General features: G+C 41.9%; 1 long non-coding RNA gene across 1 annotated transcript in view; it reads right to left on the bottom strand.

The window, feature by feature from the left end:
- Positions 1-19,640, bottom strand: part of LOC107985398 (uncharacterized) — a 29,940-nt gene extending 10,300 nt beyond the window's left edge. Inside the window, exon 1 of the long non-coding RNA XR_001754497.2 lies at positions 4,593-19,640. This is a non-coding gene — a long non-coding RNA (uncharacterized LOC107985398). The remainder of the gene's footprint in view (positions 1-4,592) is intronic.
- Positions 19,641-20,209: the final 569 nt, after the last annotated feature.

Below are 20,209 nucleotides of genomic sequence, written 5' to 3'. Positions count from 1 at the left end.
CAGTGAGCCAAGATCGTGCCATTGTACTTCAGCCTGGGGGACAAACGTGAGACTCCGTCTCAAAAAAAAGATTGCCAACTCCAACATTACTATTTTGATGTGGACCACTTCATAGATTGTGTTCCAAGGGCTTTGAGTTTTAAGATTATCCCATTGCACTGAGGTCAAGAAGGCCCACTAATCTGTGTAAGGCACAATCTTCCTGAAGACCTTGAAAATATCTTGCCCATTGTCCTGTTCCAATGCCCAAATGCCCACATCACGGATTCTTTTGGGTTAAAGTAGAGATAGACACTAAAAGACCCAATACCCCACATCTTCCCTGTAGCCCATCTCTAATCCATGACATTTGAAAACTTGGTCTTCCCTTCGTAGACATTCTTTCTCAAGTGATACCCTTCCTATCCTCCCACAAGCTGTCCAGCTTTATTTCCTGCATCCTAAAAGACACATATCAGCTGATAAATTCAGCTCTCTTCTCAGAGACTTAATCCAGAGTATTAGATGGAACCTAAGAAGGGGAGCTGGTGTATTCTAACATCAGGCTTGGGAAACCCAAAAGCTAACAGAAAGAGCTAAAACACTCTAATTCCTAAGCTTCTAGATGACTCTCCTGCAGCCATTGACTGTTGACCATTAAAACATCATGGCAGCGCCCTCTTTGAAGGTTCAGAGTCACTGAGCACCCAAACATGCCACCCTTTCCATTACTTCCCCAGGTCACCCTGTCCCGATTCATACATAGCAACAAACTAGCCTGACCAAATAAAAACAAGCACGCTGCAGCCCAACAGCAGATCTGAAAGCTTCAAAAATGAAAAACCACAAGTGCTGAAAGACAGTTACGTATTTAGCCTTTTCATGAAAAAAAAAAAAAGAAGAAAAAATATCAAACATGAGAATAAATCCACCTGTGGGTCCCTATCTCTACTGAGGTCACCAAAAATCCCTCCCTCTTTGTTTGCAAACTGTTCAGAAGCTAATGAAGGAAGCCAGCAAATAAACCAAGATTAATGGCCGATTTGTCATCTGGGAAGGGAAAGGTGAGCTCCACGCCTCAGCCAGAGGAAGCAAACCGGAGGAGGTGGGGGCTGATTTATGGGTTTGGGAGCAGACTAATTAGAGCCTCATGGCAGGTGATAAGGGGGACCAAAGGCATTTGGGGAAAGCAAAGTGAAAGGAGGCAGGAACCCGGCCGAGTACTTAGTGCAAACTGCAAGCTGGAGAGGGCAGGGGCCACAGAAACAAGCTCCAGACGCAAAACAGACCAACTTTGAATTCCAAGAAAATTGCGTTTTGGAAAGTTCCCAGAAGCCACCAAGAAAAGCCCATGTTCCTGCATCTCAGATAAGGTCTGGAAACAAAGTCCTTGCGGCTCAGTTTGGAAGAGCTGCCCCCATGCAATTGCTCACACCAAGCGGCCAGCATGCCAGGGTCACCCAGCCCACCCTCCCGTGTCCTTCCTAGCCCAGCTTGCTTAGTGCTCCAATAGGTCAGTTGGTTGAACAGAAATTGTCACCAAGATGTAGCCTTCACTTTGAAGGTCTGCACACACTCCAGCCATGTTTACTTCCCACAGATTTCCTGCATGTAGGGAGGAGCCATCGGGGTGGTGATGGGGCTGAACCTGGGACTGGAAGAACCAGCACACCAAGGAGGGAAGACTCTCCATGCATCATTCCCTTGAGAGAAGCCCAGGCTGGACAGTGCAGGGGTGGCCTCTTCAGATGGCAGACACTGTGTTCAGGGTAGGAACTCAGAAGGTCATGGACTGCTGGAGTATGTCTGGGGAGAAGGAGATTGAGAGGAGAGGACACCCTGCCTTATTTTTCTGAGAAGAGAGCTTCCTTTTTCCAGAACAGCTGGCACCATTTGCAGTGTGTGTGTGTGTGTGTGTGTGTGTACACTAAATGCACACACACACCTGCAAGTACTCAATCTCCTCTCATATCCTTCAAAGGCTAACCCTGGGTTCTATCTACCTTTAATGGGATGTGTCATTAGATGTAGCAAACAAGCCCAACGTCCCTCAAGCATCTGCTTAACACAGCATTTGGGCGACGAACACACAAAAAGCTCACGCTTCACTACTATGCAATATATCCATGTAGTAAAATGGTATTTGTATCCCATAAATTTATACAAATTTTAAAAGCACAGCCGTCTTTTTCCCTCTCTCATTTTAAAAATGTGAACAAAAAGGAGGCAGAGAAAGAGACAGAAAGAAAGGCAGAGAGGGAGGCACAGGGAGGGAGGAAGACAGAGAAAGGGAAAAAAGGAAAGGATGGAAGGGAGGGAGGAATAAAGAGAAAAGAGAAAAGAGGAGAGAGACAGAGAATAAAAGGAAGCAAGAGAGCAGGCAGCTGGTGCAAGAAGTAAGGGTCTTTTCTCTCATTTTCCTGTCTTTTAATAAATCACTGTAGCGGCCTGTGACCGCTCTCTGTTATCCCTAAATGCTCAAGCAAACAGCTTTTCTTTGAGACTATTCAAGTGGCTGCCAGGGAGGCTGGAGCTGAGCAAGCAATGCGAGCCGCCGGCCTGCCCGCCTGTAATTCAGGTAGAAAAGCAAGCATAAAGTCAATATTCATGGTGCGGGTAAGAATTGCCACCACACAATGAAATGGTAATGAGCCGGCTCACAAAGGAGACAAGCCGGATAATCAGCTTTTAAGGAGGTGCTGGGGCACATGAGGCTGCCAGGGCCTGAGCGGGCGTCCCGGCCATGGGCCCCCACCATCTGCGGGCATTGGCAGAAGGCCGGCGGGAGCCAGGGCGGGTCTCACCAGGCCCTCTTCCCCTGGCCCTGCCTCTCCATTTTGTCATTCTGGGGCCTCAAGGAGCCTAAACTTTGAGGACAAAAAGCCGCTTTGCAGCCACTGTCTCCTTGCTGGCTTTCAGATGAGTCTGGGGTGATGGCTGGCAGGCAAACGGGAAAATTGGAAACCTTGCAGCTGTACCTGGCGTACATGCTAAATGCACGCAGCGGTCGTTACCTGACTAGCTCCAGATCCCTAAGCAGGAAATCTTACCCAAAATCACAGACACTGGGGAGTGGAGTCAGGCACTGGGTATGTCAGTAAATTCAAATACACAAAGGGATTTATTTTTATTTCTTCTACAAGATTCCACTTTATACACCTTTTTAACAGGCGATCATTTAATCTCTTCAGCAAAATTAGAATAAAAGAAGGGTCAAAAGGAAATGAAGCCATCAGATGAACGACCACATGCAAACTGCGTTTAGACAGCTATGGGATGGTTCCAGGGTGATTGGTGGCCCTGGATTTGAAGATAATGTTTTTCCTGAGACTACAATTTGATTTCATCTATGGTGTTGTCTACTGATGTCTGTTTTGAGATCGACTCAAACAGGCTTTCCACAGTTTCTCATTATTCTAGAGTAAATCTGTTGTCTTCATCACCATCATCATCATCTGTATTTGTACCTCTAGTCATTACAAAATTAATTTAGGTGACTGTATTGGTCTGTTCTCAAGCTGCTAATCAAGATATACCTGAGATTGGGCAATTTATAAAGGAAAGAGGCTTAATGAACTCACAGTTCCACATGGCTGGGGAGGCCTCACAATCATGGCAGAAGGCAAAGGAGAAGCAAGTCCCATCTTACATGGTGGCAGGCAAGAGAGAGAGCTTGTGCAGGGGAACTCCCCTTTTTAAAACCATCAGATCTCATGAGACTTATTCACTACCGCAAGAACAGCATGGGGAAAACTGCCCCCATGAGTCAATGATTCTCCACCTGGCCCCGCCTTTGACACGGGGATTATTATAATTCAAGGTGCGATTTGGGTGGGGACAAAGCCAAACCATATCAGTGACCTACAAAAATACATACCAAAAACCAAGACAACATGCAATTTAAAATAAAAAGTGAAAGGAAAATGAGGTAAGAGGTGAGATGAAGCCCAACGTCCTGTATCCTGGCCCGAGCTGAGCTGAGAGCTGGTTCATGGCTTTCTAGTAACCAGTTCAAAAAGAAAAACACAATCCTTAAAACCAGTGAATCTCAACTCAGCCCCAGGGTTTCTGATACATGTGGTTTGGGGGTGGGGACCCACACATTTTTATGTTTTAAAGCTCCCTGGTGAGATAAAAATAGACCAGTTCCTCAGGACATAATCATTCTCGATGTTCATAGGAAGAACATTGTGTTATATGGGAAAAAAAAACCCTCTCAGCAACTCCCTTACAGTAAAAGCAACAAAGTTGGTTATGTTAAGGCATGAATAAAGCACAGGAGATCAAGGAGAAGGGACAAGTACTCCAGGGAAAAGAAATAGGATGAGAAAAGAAAAAGAAGTATACGAGCAAATCATGAAACATTTAGTTGTTGGTGAAAACATACACACAAGTGGAAGGAATCCAGCAAGCTGATGAAAAGAGGGTTGTGGAGAGTCCTGAATGCCCAGCTCAAGGCGTGGGGTTAAGAGTGCAAAGGGAAGGGAAAGTGCAATTGGCTGGGTTCAAATCCCAACTCCCCTGCTTACTAGCATGTGGGACCTTAGGCATGTTGCCTACCTTTTGGGGCCTAGGTTCACCCATCTGTAAAACGGGCTAAGAAAAGTACTTACCTTGTAGGCATAAATGAGATAATCTATGCCAAGTGTCGAACATGGCACCCAATACAATAGTGCTGTGAACTGAATGTCTGTGTTCACCCCAAATTCCTATGTTAAAATCCTAATCCCCAAACTGAGGGTATTTGGAGGTGGGCCTATGAGAGGTGATTAGGTCATAAAGGTGGAGCTCTCAGGAATGGGATTAGTGTTCTTTTAAAAGAGGCCCGAGAGAGAACCCTTCCTCCGGGGAGGTTACAGTGAGAAGATAGCCTACGAGGAAGTGGGCCCTCATCAGACACTGAAACTGCTGGTGTCTTGGTCTTAGACTTCCCAGCCTCCGGAACTGTGAGAAATAAGTCTCCATCGTTTATAAGCCACTAAGTCTATGATTTTGTTATAACAGCCAAATGGACTAAGACAATTATCTAGTGTTATTATTTTCATTGTTATTGCTGTTACTATTTTCTATGCAGTGAGAACAAGGGAATAACATTATTTCATGGAATGGCTCCAAGATGTACTAGACTTTGTATACATATATCTTATTTAATTTTGCAACAACTTAGTCTAATAGGTATTATCATTATCCCCAATAGCCAATTCGATCTCAGTGTGGTTAAGTACTGTGCCCAGGTTGTGGAACAAGGAAGTGGTCAGACTGAGATTCAAACCCAGAAACTGTAGAATATTCCAATGATAAACTGAGGCCAATTTGCAGTAAAGCAAATAAAGCTTAAGCTTCACAGACATCTTCACTTGCCGAGGATGCTCCAAGGCTCTAAATCTAATTTTGCATTTGTACTCTGTAATTTTTTTTTTAAGTAGAGATCCCAAATTGACTCAGATCCACAAAACCTGGACCTATCTTGATGATAATATATATGAGTAACATGGTCTGATCAGAACTGTTCCCTAATAAGGGAGGACCAAGGATAAAGTGACAGGAGGAAGGTCAAGAAGAAATGAGTTTTGTGGGTAGAGACAAAGAGTTCAACCTTAGCCACATTGCATTAAGGGGACCACAGAATAATCAAATTGGAGTATTTGTAAACATGGTTCAGGAGAGCAGGTAGGGTAAGGAGATACAGACTGGGAATAATGGGGCAGACTGTAAGGGAGAAATTATTACCCATAAAGACTGTTCTAGAGCTATGCTGTCCAATAGAGAAGCCACTAGCCACATGTGTCTATTTATATTTAACTTAAATAAAATTTAAAAGTCAGTTTCTCAGGCCCATAAGCCCCATGTCAAGTGCTCAATGACTATATGTGGCTAGTGGCTACAACAAGGAACAGTGCAGGTACCTTTGCAGATAGTTCTGTTGGATAGCTCTGGTTCAGAAGGTCAGAAAGTGATTAGGGACAGGTTCACGGGAAAACATCTGAGGAACAAACAGAAGAAGAAGACAGGGAATAAACTGGGGAAACTGGGCCATAGAATCAGGAAGAGAACCAGGAGATGGAATTCTCAGCAAAGAGAATTTCAAAACGTTTATTCACCAGCTCGGCAGTTAGCAAAGACCTTGAAACGGCACCTTTTTCTTACAGCCACAAATACTCCCTGACATGGCCCTGCCCAGAAAGGAAACCTTGAGAAGGACAAACGACAGCAGCAGTTAGGGAAGCAGGTGCCCAGAGGCTTGCTTGCCCTCCCTTCCATCAGGAGAAGCCTTTAAAATTGTACTCAAACAGACAAGGCCCACGCCTGCCCATGCCCACACGCACCTCTCAACAGGCAGCTGCCTGCATACCTACGCAACTTCCTGTTTGCTTGTGCAATTACCTACGGTTCACATAAGAATGCATGTCCTGAGCGCAGCCTTTTCTGGCCCACACATGTATGTGCATATTTTGAAGGTGCAAATGAGGCACTGAGCATAGTTTTTTAATGTAGCCCTAAGGGGTACATTATTCTGATCAGCACTAACATAGCCGTCCTACATTAAGGCATCGACTTTAGGTCCCACTGGAGGCCACAGTGTTAAACAAGCAAACAAATCTAGTTTCCCCGTGTGGCCCAAAGTTTCCCTTTGCCCTTCACTTCTACCTCTGCCTATTAAAGTCTCACCGCCTGCCAAGCACCCACCTCCTCCTAACTCCAAGTCTTTCCCCAGATTCTTGCTCATACCCTAGGTATTTACATAGGTATCTGTGTGTTTCTCCCCTACTTAATCATGACCTTGTCTTTTTAACCTTTGTCTGCCCCATACTATCATGCATCAACTTTTGAAATGTGTCCCAGTGCACTTTCTTTGGGAATGAGTTCCTCAGTCACAGAGCCTGTGACTGCAGCAGAGTCTAGCTAGGTGCTCAATAAGCCATTTTCCTCTTTCTCCTAACAGCTGGACCACATTTCCCAGCTTCCCTTGCAGTTCTATTCAATCATGTGACCAAGTTCTAGCCCTGGAAAGGGGCAGAAGTGATATGTATGACACCTCCAGGTTGAGGCAATTAAGGACAGATATTTCTTCTACATATTTGCTCTCTTCTCTCATCTAGTGGATGGAAACGCAGGACCCAATCAAAGGCTCTATGGCTTTGGATAACACAGCAACTAGACAGAAGGAAACTTGGTACCTGAATGGCTGTGTGGAGCAATCTCTCTCACTCCCCTGCCCACCTCTATTGGACTGTGATACAAGATTGGACTGTGAACAAGAAATAAACATTATGATGTTTAATCCTAAGATTTGAGATTTGTTTATTAGAGCAATCAGGCTACTCTGTTGTAAATTGATTGCAAAATTTCCTCCAATTATTTCTCTTCCATACAATGTGATTTAGCAGTTTCTTCCATCAAGTGGTGGTGTTTATTTTCCATTCCTTGGACCTAGGTTTGGCCATGTGTCTTGAACTGGCACATGAAATGTAGCAGAAGTGACAGAGCCAGTTCCAAGCCTAGGCCTCAAGAGACCTTGCAGGCTTTTGCTTACTCTTTGAGATCTCAGACTCCACCACGCGAAGAAGCCAGACTAGTCTGCTGAAGGTTGAGAAACAACATGGAGAAGAGCGAATTGTCCAAGCAGACCAGAAGTTAATAAATCAAGCCAAGCTGAATCAACCAAACTCAGACCAGATCAGCAGAACTTCCGAGCCAGCCAATCCATAGATTTATGAAAAATAATAAGTGGTTGTTTTATGTCACTAAGTTTTGGAGTTCTTTGTTACACAGCAAGAAATAACTAATATGCCTGACTAATATAGTAACTATTTTAATAGATTATTATTCAAGCAGTGATATTTATTAGACCCATACTCATTCGTCTTCTAAGAAACATCTGCTGTTCTTGTTCCCTAACCAGACACTGGTGGCAGGTGTAATCAGAAAGACACTCCTACCCCCACCACCACACACACACACACACACACACACACACACACACACACACACATAATCCTGGGCTTTTCCAAGACACAGATGTGTCCTATCTTTACTCTGTTGTCAGTTACAATTATTTAGTGTCTCCCAGTCATAGCCAACAGACCCTAATGTTGTCTAAAGTTTTACCTTCCATTAAATATTTCAATGGATTCCATATTTTTGCTTAGGTGAAGAATTTTTTTTGAAATCTGCTTCGAAAACTGCCTATTGCTTTTATTTTGTATGTCAGGTATTTTATAAATAATCTCTGGCAAATTCCCCTAAGAAAACTCTAGTTGAGGCTATGAGTTCCTTTTGCTACATCTCCTTAGCCACCAGCTTCAGCAGCAGCTGGGGTGGGTCATGATTGCTGAGGACTTCCTCTCTTCAGCACATACCACACACTTCTCACCAGCCCACACACAGGGGCAGCCACCAGATGGGGAGAGGGAACATTAAATCCCTCAGGAACAATCTTCAGCGTTGGGTGATGGGAGTAGATGGAGAAATACCTTACTCCTTTGGGGAGTTTTTTAGGGTATACTCCTGAAAAGCATTCCACATGGTTACTCAAAGGATCCCCTAGAGAACTGATCCCTAGTTCCGTGTAATTGTAACAAACTCAATAGTGTACCTTTTTACTGGCTTTCTCTCTATCCCTGTCTCACTCTTCTCTGCTCCGTTACTCCGTCTTCCAGGGCTCAAGTACCGGTACCCAAACTACCCCTACCCAAGTCTTTGCAAAACAATACACAAAATTTTTGTGTATGTGTGTATGGCCTTATGGCTAAACTCATGCCCTTTCTCAACAACCCCCCATAGAGTAAGTGATGATTTTAACTCAGATTTTATCTCAAGGGCCAATTCTCAGCATGGTGTTGGTTCACAAAGTTCTTTCATTCTTTATTGAATGAATGAATTAGTTAACAAAAGAGAAGCTCGACCTTGTAGTTTTCAGATACAGTCATTCTTGCCCTGTTTTTATGAATAGGTGGGTTTCTTACCTTCATTCATTCAAATACTTAGTATTTACCATGTGTTAAGCACAGTGTTAGCCGCTATGAATGTAAGAACAAATAGGGTCCTATCAGACAAATGTGGTGTCGATTGCACCGACTTTGTTTGTTCTTTCATTCATTTATTCACATTCCAGGGCACAGACCTTCAGATCTAAGATTGCCACTTAAAACCTAACCCAGAGTTGGCCTGGAAGGAAGATAAAGCTAGCAAAATGGGGACCAAATCTGGTTGCCTAGAAGACACATAAGGCAGGTGGCCTCTGTTTTAATTCCCCATGTGGCACCCTGGCCATGAGTGGACACAGCTCATAAAAAAAGAGCACTAAAATCTAAACTTTACTTCAGCCAATACCTTCCCCCATTGGTATATTGCTGCTTTTCTCTCCCCATACCTGAACCCCTTCCTCCTCCTTCGGCCACCATCTGCACATAATTCTAGGAAGGCTTGTTCTCTTCCAGATCTCGTGGTCACAAATGACTTATTGCAAAGGTTTTTCTGCCCATAATACTGACATTTTCAAGATGGGTTCTCAAGACTCAATAATGGTGGAATTTTAGCTATTGAAACAAACAACCCAAATACTCTTCAGGCTGTACCTGTATCATGACACCTACAAACTTCAACAGCTGACCTTATGATGGAGAGTGTGACAGTGAAAGATTGAAGCAATGATGAGACACCTCTCTGCTTCCTACACATGCTTCAATTCTTGTACCTTGAAAGTCTGTTTCTTCTCCATGTGACAGCTAACAGTAGATAACGGCTATCTGTCTTATCTTGACCTCACAGGGACATGTGAACAACTAAATAACATCCAGTGAAGCTGAATGTCCTTGAATAAAAAGGCCTTAGACTACTAGGAATAAGGCACAGAAATATGTTCTCATTAATTCAAATTTGTGCTGCAAATTTGTTTTATTTCAACTAAATAACTGAATATTCTTTTATCATCCTTATTACTAATATCAATGCTTGTTTCAATATTTCATGCAATTTTTAAATCAGTTCACTTTGATTTAAATATCGTTAAAGAGAAATGTTAAAACTCTGCCCTAAATTGAAAACCAGTGACCCTTGTCATAAATAGACATTAATGTTAAAAAGTACCTAATTAATTAACCTATTAAACAAAATGTTAAATAGATGAAACTCTTTTTGTGTAACATCAGGGATACACATTTCATTCTTTGGAAACACTACCCTAAAGGAAACAAAAATAAAGGTATTTATAGTAGAACCACCTAGAATGGAAGAGGGAGGTACAAAACCAAACCCAAGCTTTCTCATCAGAGTAATTTAGGTTAATCCATTATTTATTTCACCCTTCTGGCATGCCTCAGGGAAAGTGAAATTTCATCACCCCACCCAACCCCCACCATGAGGTCTGTCAATATTTTCATCCACACTCATGTTTAGAAGTTTATGACAGCTGGGCAGGAGGTTCTGTAATGTTAGGACACCAGCCTTAGGGTCACAAGAAGCTCTTGAAAATGAGATGGGAGAAGAGATGGCTTTACTCATTTCAGCCATGGATTTTTCCTTGCCCATTCTTGCTCTACAGTCTCTGAAAGAGTCTTTCCTGTCCTACACACGCTCATTCCTAGAGCATGAGAAGCAAGTGGTCTGAATAGAACCCTGTACTTGCTGTCTTCTAGCACGTGGCAGTTCTGTGTTGCAACCAGGCATCAGCATCTCCCCAATTAGTGACTCCTTCTCTGTATCAGTAAGCTATTGCTACATAACAAGTAGTGAGGGTTTAATAAATATAAAGAATGATTTGTAATTGATCTGTTAAACTCTGCTATTAAAAGGACGCTTCTCAAGTCTTTGAAATTGCTTTTCAAAATTTGTTCTCTTTAGACATTTAGCCAGCTCTCTCCACACAATTTATTAGTCAAGATTTATTTTGTAAATGATTCCTTCAATGGTCTTTTTAAAAGAGAAAAAGTCTGAGCACAGGAGCTCACAGGTATAATTCGAGCACTTTGGGAGACAAAGGTGGAAGGATCACTTGAGGCCAGGAGTTCAAGACCAGCTTGGGCAACATAGCAAGACTGTCTCTACAAAATAAAAATAAATTAGCCAGCCCTGATGGTCCTTGCCTGTAATCCTAGACACTTGGGAGGCTGAGGCAGGAGAATCACTTGAACCCAGGAGTCTGGGGTTACAGTGAGCATGACTGCACCACTGCACTCCAGCCTGAGTGATGGAGTGAGACTCTGTCTCAAAAAAAATGAAATAAACAAAAAAGCAGAAAAAGCAAACTTTAACCTTCATCCATTACAAATATCTCAGAGTCTATTAACAAAGGCTGGTGATATTTCAGAACTAAGACAGACAATTACCTCTGTGGGTTCAGAGACAGAAAAGGAATTTGATGATTCTGAAAGCTTCTACTTAGTGTACAGTCTAAAGACACTGCGGGGAATCACAACAGCCCTTTAACAGTGGTGTTTTTCTCTGTAATTACTGTTATGTCTGATAACAACATGTCTTTATCCTTTGTGGAATGAAACAAGGTATAAATATAAATAACATCCTCCCATACATTCACACTTGAAAAAAATTGAAGCAGGTGTTTTTTAAGAGCTATGTGTTTGATTTAACGTTGTTTAAATATTAGCTCACAACAACTAAGCATTACACCATTGTATCGATTATTTGAATCGCATCTAGTTTTTCCACTTGTTTGCAAGGTCTCCTTGAGTACTTCATTTTTGTCTGATAATATTTTTCAGTGGTTTCACTCAAGGAATTATCCACTTGTTATGAGCAGCAACAGTGCTTCCAAAATTTTAATATCTATACAAATCACTTGAAGATCTTGTTAAAAACACAGTTGCTTTTCAATTACTACTACCAGTGTAGTAGGTCTGGGGTCAGGACTGAGACTGCATTTCAGACCAGCTCTGAAATGAAGTTGGTGACGTAGGTCCACACAAGAGTCAAGAGTGGACTTGTGCTGTTCTTCTAACACTTAAAATTTTGCTAAGATGGAACATGATACAGCACGTGACGATCAGGCTGGAAAATAGGCAGCAGCTTATATCATGTCTATTAATGTCATTCACTCTGTGATCAGCAACCTGAACTCAACCCGGTGTAATGCCAAAGGTGTTATCACCTGGCTGGTCTTTTGCTGAATAAAAACAAGACACCCATTTGTGTGGACACAGGAAGCAGGAGTGCTGAGTCATCTTCACTTCTCTTCCCGTCATCTTCTAAATTTGCATCTAAATTACTTTCCATTCTAAAAAGGCTGGATTCTTCCACCTCTCTTTGTAATTCTCTTCCCTTTCTTTGCTCAGACCTGTTATCAAACTGCCATCTTGTATACACATTAACCAAAGCTAAATAATGCAGGTGATATTGAGGTAGGAGGTGGGACTTGACTCCAGCGGCAGGGCTTGGACACTGGACCAAATTGAAGACTAGCTAAAACAAAAGGCAAAAGCAGCTTTCCATAAGACATACCCACCAGTGTCCCATGTCAGTTTACTATTGCCATGGCAACAGCAGGAAATTACTGCCTTTTTCCATGAGGAGGCTCTGACAACTGGGAAGTTACCACCCTTTTCCTAGAAACCTCAGAATAATCTGCCCCTTAATTTGCATATAATTAAAAGTGAGTATAAATATGCCCAGAGTAACAGCACTGCCTCTGAGCTGCTACTCTGGGCAGACTGCCTATGGGGTATACCTGCTCCACAAGGAGCAGTGCCTCTGCTGCTGTACATTGCTGTTTCAGCAAAAGTTGCTGTATAACATCACCCACTCACCCTTGAATTCTTTCCTGAGCAAAGCCAAGAACATTCCCCGGCTAAGCCCTGCATCAATATCTGCAGATCCAAGGCTTCATGGTGAGGTGTACATGAGCTGGATTTTTTTTTATCAGGTGTTTGGTCCACCTTTTCCACTTGATAACAATCCCTGTGGATGGGACTGGCCTTCTATTGGACAGCACATAGAACAAATCAGCAGGAGAGTGTTTCTAAGGAGGTGGAGCCTCTGATATTTGGTTTGAGCCCTTAAACATGAATATCTTCCAATTTCATGATCACAGTGCTTGGATCAAGGGGATTTCTTTAGCCATTTGTCTACTGTTTGTCTCAGAAACAGTGCTGTTTAATAGCTTGCTACAAAAAGTGCAGTCTGTAAACTAATAGAAAGATCCATTTTCCTGGCACGGTGCCTCATGCCTGTAATCCCAGCACTCCCAGCACTTTGGGAGGCAGAGGCAGGTGGATCGCTTGAGTTTACGAGTTCTGGAGAAGCTTGGGCAACATGGCAAAACCAGACTCTACAAAAAAAATACAAAAAATCAGCCAGGCATGGTGGTGTGTGCCTGTAGTCCCAGCTACTCAGGAGGCTGAGGTGGGAGGATTGCTTGATCCTGGGCAGCAGAGGTTTCAGTGATCCAAGATCAAGCAACTGCACTCCAGCCTGGGAGACAGAGCCAGATCATGTCTGAGGAAAAAATAAAAGTGGGGGGAAGAAAAAGAAAAAGAAAGAAAGAGAGAGAGAGAGAGGCAGAAAGAAAGACCCATCAATCGAATAATAGGAAAAAAGGTTCTGGCTCCAATTCTGCCCCCTCTTAGCTGAGTGAGCTTGTACAAGTCATGTCATCTCCTGAGCTTCACTGCTATTCATTACAAGAGTTAATTTCCATCTCTAACTTTTCTGCCAGCTCAGATATCCCTTGACCTGAAATGCCTCCAGACCAGAAGCTGCTCACAGCTATTGACCTACACAGCACAAATAGCCCTGGGACCACAGCCACTTCTGCAAGTGGACCTGCAGCCACATATTTCAGGGCAGGAAGGTCTGAAGGCATCCTATGCCAGCTCCGTCATTAAGCACAGGAACAAATCAAGGTCCTGGAAAGCAAGATGACTCCTCCAAGGTAATTTGGCTCTTCAAGGGCAGAACAAGAACCAGAACACAAGTCTCCTAATTCTCAGTCCAACGCTCTGCATAACAACCCATGCATTCAAGAAACCAGGCTTAGGGAGGCCACATCAGGATGAAAAGTTCCCCTCTGTGCTGGATGGCACGGAACTCCTTATGGAACAAAAGTGTTGGAGTACCTGCAAGGCAACAGATAGTCCATCTTCTCCACATTTATCCAAATACACAGGAAGGGCTTTATAAAGATTTGTTGAATGAGAGAATGAGTGATTCCTTTGCATTTTATTTCAGAGATGCATTTGTTGGCTTTTAGCATCTCTGAGTGTGTAAAAGGGGTTTTAGTGTCCTTCCCAAATTCCCTCAGCATTTATCTCTATTCTCAAAGGCTGCTTACTGCAAACATGAGACTCTCTTCCTAAGGACTTCTTTTCAGGCCACAGTACATGATCAGTCTGAGTGCAGGGCATCTCAGAAGCACAGGAAAGTTAGTACTCCTAGAGAAACCCTTGATCAATGATGAATGAGGAGTTGGTGATCAACATCTTAACTTCTTCACTTCTGGGACAGGACAGTTCTGAGGCATGTTCTACGGAGTTCCAGAGTGCCTCAGCAGGACTGGGCTGTAGCTACCCGCACTCGTGATTGGCTTGATAACATCCACTTTCTTTCTTCCTTCCCTTCCCTATCTCACTTTCCTGCTCCCCCTGGAATCTCCTCCCAAATACACTATTTGTACCAAAATCATTATCTCAGGATTTGCATCGGGGAATCCAAACCAAGGTACAGTGGTATCAACTTGGTGGAAAAATAGAACTTTCAAGAGGTCTCAAATTCTTTTGGATGCAAAAACTGTACTTTTATCTGATTCTGTCTTTGGGTTTCCCCAAAAGCAGCTGCTAAGAAAAGGATGTGGGTACAGGTAGTTTATTTGAGAAGTACCTCAGGAAGCAGAAGTGGGAGACTAGAGGAGTGAGACAGAGAAGGGAAAGAGAGCCAATACAAAGTGTGTTCATGAGTCAGTTGCTGTGGGAAGCTGTGGGCACAACCCCACTGGGGAGCCCCTGAGAGGCCGCAGGGAACGCACCTCAGAATTCTACACTGGAGGGCAAGAAGCTGGTATTCATTCACTGACAACCATCCTGGGGCCTCAGCTTCTGGGTTTCCTAACATGCCCCACGAGCAGCCCAGCCACATCCTAGAGATCACAGAAGCTCTCAGCGTTCAGGGGAGCTGCCTGCAAGGGACCTCCAGGAAACCAACAGCATCTGCCATAGATTCTGCAGGATTTTTACTGATCAAAATGCTACTCTGTTCAACAAATGACAATCTTGCTGCTCCCCAAAAAAACTATGTTGAGCCTCCTCAGTTCTGAGCTTGCTTTGTTTTGGCTTCCTTGAAAGATATCCTTGAACTCCATCAGTTCCCAATGCAAAACTTCTAGATAAACTGAAAAGCAAGAAGGATGAGAAACGGAACTACTAGGGGAAAAAAATGAGCCTGAAACCTTCCAACCTCAGTCATGCAACAAACACAACTGGAAATATTCAGCAGTCATGTCAGTACCATGCCTGCCCTGTCTTCAACACCCTCTCCCGGCCGTCGCACCTCACCGTGGAGTCCAAGCTGCAGTCAGGCTCGTGGGACCGCACAAGCCCTTCCTTTGATGCTTCCCTGTTCAGTGTTACTGAGACCTCCTGATCAGGGGGGCCCCCGAGGTCAAGGCTCTATCAGGAATAAGGTTTCTTAAGTGCCATGTGTGAGACACCATCTGACACTGTTTATAGATCGATTTAGCCCCTTATTGACCATGGGACAGAAGTTAAAAGCATTGCTTTTGGAGCTCAAATGTGTTAACTTCTGAAGTGATGTTTGAATTAGGGTTAAGAAGGGCCCAAAGTTTTGATCTGCTGATTAGAGAAAAGAAAAAAAAAATAAAAAGAAGAAAGGACATAAACTAAAACATTTTTTTCAGAAAGGAAATCTGATTCTTTTTACTAAAACCAAGAGACCAGCCCATGATTAATCTATCAACTACAGAGTTGACATTAGATGTTCTGTAGTCACAGAAACATCTGAATTCTTCAGCTGCCAAAATGTGGATGATCTATTAAAATGCAACTGCTGGTTTTGAAGTAACTCACTGAAAAAAGTAGCTTCCTTCTTCAATAGGTCAAGGCTAGAAAGAGAAGTATCCACTGGGTTCATATCTGGAACAATCACCTTTTTGCCAACTGTAAGTCAAATAAAGCACATTCCTTGCCTAAAAGTTGACATTAGTAAGACAATAGTTGTGTGGTAAACAGACACAAGCAGCCCCACAACTCATGCTGTTAGTATTAGGCCTGCATTCCCTGAAATGTCTTTGGATTTATAACACAAAAAAATCTAGCAAATAAATTCCCCTCCCTTATATGAGCTCTGTGATAAAATGCCTGTAATCTAGGTATTATGCAGTGAGGTTGACCATTTTTAACTGATGTGTTTCTTATCTACTATGTGGCATAATAGGAAGCAGTGGCAATTAAGACAATTAGATATGAATAGGAAATAGTTCTTCTGATTAGAACCAAAGACTGGGCATGCTGGATATTCAACAAGTGGAAATCGGTGTGTATGGTATGTTATGAGCTGACACAGACACACTTCTGCAATGCAATCATGATTATTGCATTAACAATGACCCAAGGCATGACACAGCCCTGGAGTCTGTTTGGGCCAATCAGAAAGAGCAATTGAAGTTCAATAGGATTTGAAAAGTTTAATAAACTCTATTGTATTCTAATTCTTTTAAAATTAGTAAGGTGAATTAAATATGGGTTAACTCTCTATTAAGCTAAACAACTGATGATCCAAAGGCTCACCAGAAAATAGTTGACTGTGGAAATTATCATCCCCAAAATAAACAGGCCAGAATCCTTAGAAAATTAATGAAATGATGTCTATAAGTAAAATATCTAGAAGAAAAAGTATTGTGTTAATATGAACTGGAAAGTATTTATAGGCAACTCAAAGTATGTTCTAAAATTATTTTTGATCCTATTAAGAACATAAAAAAGCAATAAAGATCTAAATCTTTTAAAAGCCTCTGGATTAAATGTAATATAGGCGCAGATATTTTGCCAGAGCAAGACCTTTGCTAACGATGGTTCGTGCAGTCTTTGTATCTCCTATGAGTCATGTCATATAAAGCTTTTAACTCGTTTTGAGCTCTGGAAATAACAATTGAAACTTTTATCATTTACATAATCGTTTAATAAACATTTGTTAGATATCCGCAATGTTGACATATCAGTATGCAGGCCTGGAGAACTCCAGATAGCTCCACCTTACCCAGGTGGCAGGGGTACGTTCCAAATGATTGACGTATGCCCAGATGGTCTAAGCATATTTAATAGCATGTATGTGTGGCAGGGTGGGGCACAGGAATGACATATATACATCATGATAGAAGGGGCTAGAATTAATATCTTTCACGTCTTAGACAAATACCTGTGGTTCTGTAAGATGATAATTTGAACATAGACCTTGATAGCTATCTGAACCACATTCTCTGAGAGCCACTAAAAAGCCATTCATTATTTAATTGTTTAGTCAAGAATCATTTCCTGAGCATCTATTAAGTGCCAAGAACAATTCTAAGTGCTAAATTACATTAGGGAACAAAGACAATGTTCCTGGTGCCTATTGTTACAGTCAAGGTAAGTCTGAAAAATTTTTAGAAACAGAGTTTTTGATCCATTTTTATCACACCTTTATAATACAAAGGCTTAATATTGAATAAAATGCTTTAATGGCAATCTCATTTGATCTAGGCTGAACTCTATTCCTGAGAAAATCACATGAATTGAGAATTGAAGGAAGTCAATTTTCTCAAACATAGTGAGAAAAATTGTCCATGTGAATGAGGTTTTGATAATTTTTCTCTGGTGGTTTAAATGATCTATTCCAAAAGTTAAAGTTAAAATTGCTTTTATTAGAGTTTCAGAATCAGTGTTTTGAGGTGAGCTGTCAGACATGAGGCAAAATTATGTGTGTCAGGAGCAGAAGTTATTAAACCTGACAGCCAAGCTCAGAATTTGCTGTTCTTGAATTTTAAGCCCAGTTCTTGGCCTATTGAAGCACTCTGTCTGTACTGTTTTTTCTCTCCTGGATAGAAGCAACCTTAATTTCTTCATATTTCAAGAGGTCTACCAATACAAAAATTAAAAAGATAATGCAGATATATGGGGCCATTTTGGGAAGGCAAACAGAGAGGTAAAATAAGCATGTTAGACAGGATAACTTCTAAACATTCTGTCTTGGCATAAAATCTGTAATTTGACATAATTATTAGTTATCTATTATTAGCTAGCTTTAGATATGGCTAGCTAATTACGTAGATATATAAGACTCTGCCTTTAATAGCCTGATATAGAATTCTAAAAATATAAGGTGATATATGAAAGGTAATAAAAGAATGCAAGATAATGTTATAAAAGGAAGAAGGAAGGGAAGAAAAAGGAAAGGAAGAAAAGGTGTGTAGGGAGACCATTCTCTCACACTGAGGAAACAAGCAGTTTGTTAACTTTAATCTCTGCCATTTATTTACCCCTTGTGTGAAAATTAGCTCTTTTAAGTCACTGGATATAGTAGACACAGTACCCTCTGCCCACCTGAGTTCATCTCCATGTGCAGCAGCCAGTTTTCATGCAGGCTGGCAGCTTCCCCCTCATGCACTGACACCTCCCTCTGCTTCTCAGCCTGATGGCTTTTTCTAGCGCCGTACGTGTTTGCTCAGTCCAGCACAGGACAGCCCAGGACAGCTCAGAAGCACTAGGGGTTTAACACCTCCACGGCAATTCTTAACCAATGAGAAACAGAAGTTGATAAATATGCAGGGTTCCCTGACATGTGTGAGGTGTGTTCCACATGGTTTCCCAGAGGCCCCCAGCAACAGTGAGCCCCACCACCCACAGCGGTAGCCGGAATTGGCTTCCTTCCCTCTCTGTCTCACCCTTCACCACCCCCTCACCTGGCTTTCTGGGGTCACCTTCCAAACAAAGTACCTGCCTCAGGGCCTGCTTTGGGGGGAAACGAAACCAAGACCAAAGGAAATGATAATTTAACAGCAGTCATTTTTAGAAAGTTTTCAATTCAACTAACCCTAATGTCTCCTCCTATAAAAGTCATGTTCTCCCTTAGTAAGTCCTTGGCAATATAACCTTAACCCAAACTCAGCATTCCCTACAGAGAAAGTCAATGGAATGTCTGTAACTTTCCTTACCAGCCCTCTTTCCCTGCCTTCAACCATCTCTCTTATTCTCCTCTCCAAGCGTCCCTCCTCCCAGTAAATCTTTGTATTTTAACATAAAGTGAAATTATGACTGTTACATAGAAAATGGAGAAATTTGAAATGGTTCATGCTGAAAATTTTTTCCCAAAATTGATGTAATTTCTAATGATACCAAGTAGTAAAAACAACAGAAAGCAACATCATGGTTTCTCCTCATATTGGCCACTTTGCCTTCCCAACTGATCTTCCCAGGCTCTTTCTCCTGTTTTGATATTTAAAAGGCTGACACAAATACCTTCCTTCAGTTCAGCTTTTCAGAAAAATTGATAATAACATTGGCTAAGGTTTATTGAAAGCTTAAGAGTATTTTATGTCAATTAACTAACAACTTTCATGACAGCCTCATTTTTATCATCCCTTTTTTTCAGCCTTATTGAGGCATAACTGATAAATAAAAATTATATATATTTACAGTATACAATGTGATGTTTTGATATATTATACATTGTGAAATGATCACCATGATCAAGCTAATTAACATATTCATCACCTCACATAATTACCTTTGTGTGTGTGTGTGTGTGTGTGTGTGTGTGTGTGAAGAGCTTTTAAGATCTACTGTCTTAGCAAATTTCAAGTATACAATAAAGTAATATTAACTATAGTTACCATGTTGTACCTTAGGTCTCCAGAACCCATTCATTTTGCATAACTGAAATTTTGTCCACTTTGACCAACATCTCCTCATTTCTTCCATCCCCTAACCTCTGGCAACCATTCTACTTCTGCTTCTATGAGTTCAACTTTTTTTAGATTCCACACATAGTGAGATCATGCAGTATATCGTTTTGTGCATGACCTTCCATTTTCCTCTAGGTTTAATCTTATGTTGTTGCAGATGACAAAATTCCCTTCTTTTTAAAGGCTGAGTATTATTTCATTGTCTCTGTGTATCACATTTTCTTTGTCCATTTATCTGTTGATGGACACTTAGGTTGACTCTGTAGCTTGGCTATTCTGAATAGTGCTGTAATGAACATGGGAATGCAAACATCTCTTCACAATCTT

The sequence above is a fragment of the Homo sapiens genome, chromosome 20 (assembly GCF_000001405.40).
Source record: "Homo sapiens chromosome 20, GRCh38.p14 Primary Assembly".
Taxonomy (NCBI): domain Eukaryota; kingdom Metazoa; phylum Chordata; class Mammalia; order Primates; family Hominidae; genus Homo; species Homo sapiens.
Note: the sequence above shows the minus strand (reverse complement) of the source record. Positions and strands in the feature narration are given on the sequence as shown.